Source organism: Homo sapiens, chromosome 14 (assembly GCF_000001405.40).
Source record: "Homo sapiens chromosome 14, GRCh38.p14 Primary Assembly".
In the NCBI taxonomy this organism is placed as follows: Eukaryota; Metazoa; Chordata; class Mammalia; order Primates; family Hominidae; genus Homo; species Homo sapiens.
Genome location: NC_000014.9, coordinates 36,321,576 through 36,327,575, shown reverse-complemented (window position 1 = coordinate 36,327,575; position 6,000 = coordinate 36,321,576).

The following is a 6,000-nucleotide window of genomic DNA, read 5'->3' as shown; positions in this document are numbered from 1 at the left end:
TGGGAGAGTAAATTAGTTCAACCATTGTGGAAAACGGTGTCGCAATTCCTTGAAGACCTAAAAACAGAACTGCTGTTCTACCTAGCAATCCCATTACTGGGTATATATCCAAGGGAATATATATATTGTCCTGTCATAAAGACACATGCATGCTTATGTTCACTGCAGTACTATTCACAACAGCAAAGATGTGGAATTAACCTAAATAGCCATAAATGGTAGACTCGATAAAGAAAATGTGGTACATATACACCATGGAGTACTATGCAGTCATAAAAAGAACAAGATCATGTCCTTTGCAGGAACATGGATGGAGCTGGAGGGCATTATCCCTAGCAAACCAATGCAGGAACAGAAAATCAAATACCACATGTTCTCACTTACAAGTGGGAACTAAATGATGAGAACATATGGACACATAGAGGGAAACAACAGACACCAGGGTCTGCTGGAGGGAGGAGGGTGAGAGGAGGGAGAGGATTAAGAACAATAATAGGTATTAGGCTTAATACCTGGGTGATGAAATAATCTGTACAGTAAACCCCCATGAAACAGGTTTACCTATATAACAAACCTGCACATGTACTCCTGACAGCAAAACTTTTTTTTTTTTAAAGCTCCACATGGGAAAGAGAGAGAAATGAATAGGCAGAGCACAGAGGATTTTCAGGGCAGTGAAAATTGTCTTTATGATAGTATAACAATAGACGAATATCATTATACATTTGTCCAAATTCATAGAATGTACAATGCCAAGAGTGAACCCTAATGTAAAAATGGGCTTTGGGTGATCATGATATGTCAATGTAGGTTGATCAATTGTAACAAATTTACCATTTTGGTAGGGGAATATTGATATATGGGGAAGGCTAAGCATGTGTGAAGGTGTAAGAAAAACATTCAATAGACATAGATCCAGAAAAAAGAGATAATGTAACTAACAAAGAAAGATATTAAAATACCTGATATAAATATGCTCTATATGTTCAAGAAAATATGAGAAAACATGATAATAATGAGGCGAGAAATGGAAGACACAATTAAGATTCAAATTGAACTTCTACTATAGAAGTATTTCTATATAATAACTATATATAATAACTATAATAAAATGAGAAAAGAAATTTTAAAAGTGCCTTTTCCCCTTGAATTTATTTTCTTTTAGTTGGTTTAGTCCACTAAAATTAGTAATTCACATACCGTATTTCTACTGTTTCTACCAATTACTGACAGAGGCGTGTTAAAGTCTCCAAGTATATATGTAGATTATTTCTCCTCTTTCAGTTCTATCAGTTTTTGTTTCAAGTATTTTGAAGATCTGTTGTTAATGCACATTTAGTATTAAGTCTCCTTTGGGGAATTAACTCTCTAAGATTACATCATGCTCTTCCGGCAACTATATTGTCTAATATTAAAATGTTTACAGCTTTATTGTTACTGATGTTTGCATAGCATATCTTTTTCTATCTTTTTATAGTACTTTTAACTAACCTCTGTCTTTATATTTAAAGTGGGTTTCCTTTAGTCAGCATAATCTTAATTTTAATGCAATGTGCAATCTCCGTTTAGATCATTTACATTTAATATAACTACTGATATGGCTGGATTAAAATCTACTTCTTTTTCTATTTGTCCCATCTCTTCTTCTGTTTCTCTTTTCATGACTTTTTCAATAAACTATTTTTTACGATTCTCCATTATTAATTTATAATTTATACCTCTTAAAATATTTTTAGTTATTCTAGGTCTTACAACATATATCTTTATTAGACTACCTTCAATTAATATTATATTGCTATATTGTAGAAAACTTACAACTGTGTACTTACAATTCCTCCCTCCCAATTTGTGTGCTATGGTGTCATACATTTCTTTATATATTCTATAAATCCACAATAATTTGCCACTATATTTGCTTTAGACAGTGAATTATCTTGATGGCAAATAAAAATAAAAATAAATATCTCATGTGTCACTTTATCATAACCATTTCTTAAGATTTTTGTTTCATCATATAGATACAGGTTTCTTCCTCGTATCACACCCCTTTTGCCTGAAGAACTTCCTTTAACATTTCTTATAGGGCAGTTCTACTGGCAATAAATTATATTAGTTTTGTTTTCTTTTAAAAATCTTTATTTCTCTTTCATTTCTGAAATGGAGATGTGAAGTCTAACTTCCCTTCCCTTGAGTGTCAGCCAGACACAACTACTTGCTTCCAACAAATAAATTCCAACAATGTGTAACTTGAGAGACTAGGTCCTAAAAGGTGTGGCTTACGTCTTGCTGGGTTTTTTTTCAGAGTGGGTGATAGAACACCAAGCAAAGCCACTCCTGAATTTCTGACCCACAGAAACTATGAGATAAGAAATGTTGTTTTAAGCCACTAAATTTTGAGGTGATTTGTTGGACAGTAGTATGTAACTAATATTGAGGTTCTCCAAACTTCTTGGATCTGTGGTTTGATGTCCTTCACTATTTTTGGAAACTAGCGTCATCATCTCTTGAAATATCTCTTTGCCCTATTCTCTCTCTAGTCTCCTTTTACGATTTCAATTACAGGTACCTCAGACTGAATAATGTCCTTCAGTGCTTAGATGCTCATTTGCAGTGTTCAATATTTCCCAAATCATCTCTTATGGTGCCCAACCATCTGTAGCAGAGCAACACCCTCTTCTCTGAGGGACTCCACAGGGCTGTTCTTCTAAATTCCACAATTTTAATAATTCCTCTTTCTTTTGTTTCCCCCAGCCCTAGAGATTAGCTGCTTCCTGAATGTACTACCTCTGTGATACTTTGTTTTATTACCTTTTCAGTTAATTAACCACTTACCATAATTAACAATGTTTATAGTAAACTTTCTCTGTTCAGATAACATGTATGGCTTCTGTTTCCTGATTAAACCTCAACTGATACAGAAATTGGTATGAGATTTATTTATACCAGTAAGTAAATCTTCAAAAATGGGAGTTTGAGATTGGTTTAGTTATGTCCTTGGGCTTGACTGCACTGCTAAACTCCTTGCTAATAGGAAGTAATGTTGTGAGCCATTGCATGAAATGGCAATACAATTTGCCAATTATTATCCCAATTTACTTGATCATGAACTGTTTTGCTAAAATTAGCACATTATAGACTAGCATTCCATAAAATACACTTTAGGAAATGCTTGCTTAGCCATACTTCTCTATTTAATGTATCCTCCCTAAACATATTAAGCATGTTCAAGTTGCTGTTCATGTTTTCTATAAATTCCTTGAGAATTCTTATTTATCAATTCATATTTTGATATCAAATTCATATTTTTATCAATATCAATTCAGATTTTACTTTAAGTGTTTATAGCTTTTCCTGATTCTGGACCCAACCCCCTCCCCAAAGGAACTAATTGGCTGCATTACTTTATACATACCTCTAATATGGCCATTGTCACATTATATGAAGTTGTTTGTTTATATATCTACCTATCCCACTAGAACGGGAGCTCTTTGAGGAACAGTCCTTGTCTGATTCATCTTTGTAGCTCAATGTCAATTAGAGTGCCTGGTATATAGTAGGTACAATTAATTTGTATGTGTAAAATTATTGAGAATGGTTATGAAGGCTAGCTATATTTACTCCCTTAAGAAAACTTAGAACACTTTGAATTTGCTGCCACAAAAGAGAATAAACAGACTTGTTTCGTTATTTAAAATAAATTGTTTATAGCAGTCTATATGTTACAATTTTCCTTCAACAATAGGCACTTGTTTACTTTTTTCCATTTTATAAATCTGTTCACTTATGAAGGCAAATAAATTCAGCTCAACAGGCATATACTGAGCAATTAACTCTGTGCCAGAAACTATGCTAAGCCTTATGTACACCAACATATAAATGCTTATAGTTCAATAAGGAGACAGATATAGTCAAATAAATTCAAGTATCACTGTGATAACTACAATAATAGAAGTATATACAAGTTGTAGGAGTAGTTTAGCAGAGGAGAAAATAAGCTCTTTATGAGGGGGGATTCCCCAAAGATTTTCTAACTGGAGTTTGAAAATGGAAAAGGAGTTTCTCAAGCAGACAACAGGCACTGGGTAAAAATCAAAGCATGGAGGCAAGAAATAGTAAAGTGTTGAAGACATAAAAGCAGTTTCAGAAGCACTAAGCACCAGATGGTTTGTGGCAGAAAATGAGGCTGGAAATTTAGGCAAAGGCCACATCATAAGAGCCTTCATGTCATTCTAAAGAACTTGGACTTATGCAGCAGGTGATGGGGAGACAGGGACGACAAATACCATTTATTTTACTTTTTCTGCATTGAAATAAAATCTGTATTATCATATATGCAACAAACATCAGTTGAGCCCTTCTAATACCTCAGGTATTTTGCTGGGAACTGGGTTATTCAATAGAGTTATGCCATTAAAGCTCACCATAAAAGACATTTTTGTTGATAAGGTAAATAGCCTAGATTTCATTTATAGTCTCTATCCTCCCAATTGATTCTTGGCATAAGCCTGCTGGACAGTATTTCTAACTCTGTTGCTAACGCGAACACCAACACTTTGAATCATTTCTGCCAGGCAGCAGATTTTTCAGCAACCCACTTTATAAACTGTAATTAGTTTTCCATAAAGAGCAAATTATTCCCTTTATTCCCTTTCTAAATTTCATAGCGCATATTATACTTTTGTTATACATACATACACACATACAATATCTACAAATTTCTATTTTGAGTTGGCCCAAAGGAATCCAAATCTTTTCAGGCTACAAACTCTTCTATTTAAAATAGAATTTTCTATTATAAAATAAGAAAATGAGAAAAATTTCCAAAATGAAGGTAATAGGCATCAAGAAGAGTAAGAAAGGTCCTTAGAAAGAAGAAAGAATGCACAAAAGAGTTAACAAATTTTAAGTACTACTGGTTGAGTATCCCTTATCTGAACTACTTGGGACCAGAAGTGTCTCAGATTTCGGATTTTTTTTAGATTTTGGAATATTTGCATATATATAATAAGCTATCTTGGGGATGGGACCCAAATCTAAACACAAAATTCATTTATGTTTCATGTATACTTTATACACATAACTTGAAGGTAATTTTATATAATGTTTTAAATAATTCTGTGCATGAAACAAAGTTTTGACTACATTTTAACTGTGACCTGTTATGTCGGATCAGGTGTGAAATTTTCCACTTGTGGTACTGGCACTCAAAAAGTTTCAAATTTTGGATCATTTTGGATTTTGAATTTTCAGATTAGGAATGCTCAACCTGTACCTAAGTAAAGAATACTAAGATACAAGTGCAGGTCTGGATATCAAATCACAGAATTACATGGAGAAGCAATACACAGATCAAATGGCCATCAGTTAATTCTGTATTAGAGGCTCAAAAGAACAAGTAAAACTTGAAAATTCAAAATCAATGATGGCAAAGAAAGGAATAGCAGCACCTTGTTAAAGACAACATTTTTTAAATATACAAAGCATATTCCCAAATGTGTTGCATATCAGTGTTCTCCATATTTGAAAAAATATGAAACACCTCAATGAAAACAAATGATCTGAAACTGATTGCTAATTTGGTACAAAACAAAAACTTACAGTTACCCCATTACCATGCTTGAATAAGAAGGTTGCTCAATTTGAGACTGGACATTGTGAAGTATTTTTCTGCCTGTAGAAATAGGCTGGAATGTCAGTTGTATATCTTGCTGCCAACAAGGGAACAGAAAAGATTTCCCAAGATTCTGTCAAGCCTGGTGATCCCATTTGTCTTTGGAAATGAAAGCCTAATTAAGAGACTCCCTAGGGACAGGTCAAAGGAGTTTTTATCCCCATCGTCCTTATCTTAGTTCCTTGATGCATTAGTCCTTCCCTTTAATTTAGTCTACCCTAAAACTAAAGAATACACATTGTGCAAGTTTCCACCTTTGCTTTCTCTACTGTAAATGCATTAGACTATTAACAGAATTACGAGTTTTAAATCCCACCTTCCTTATCTCT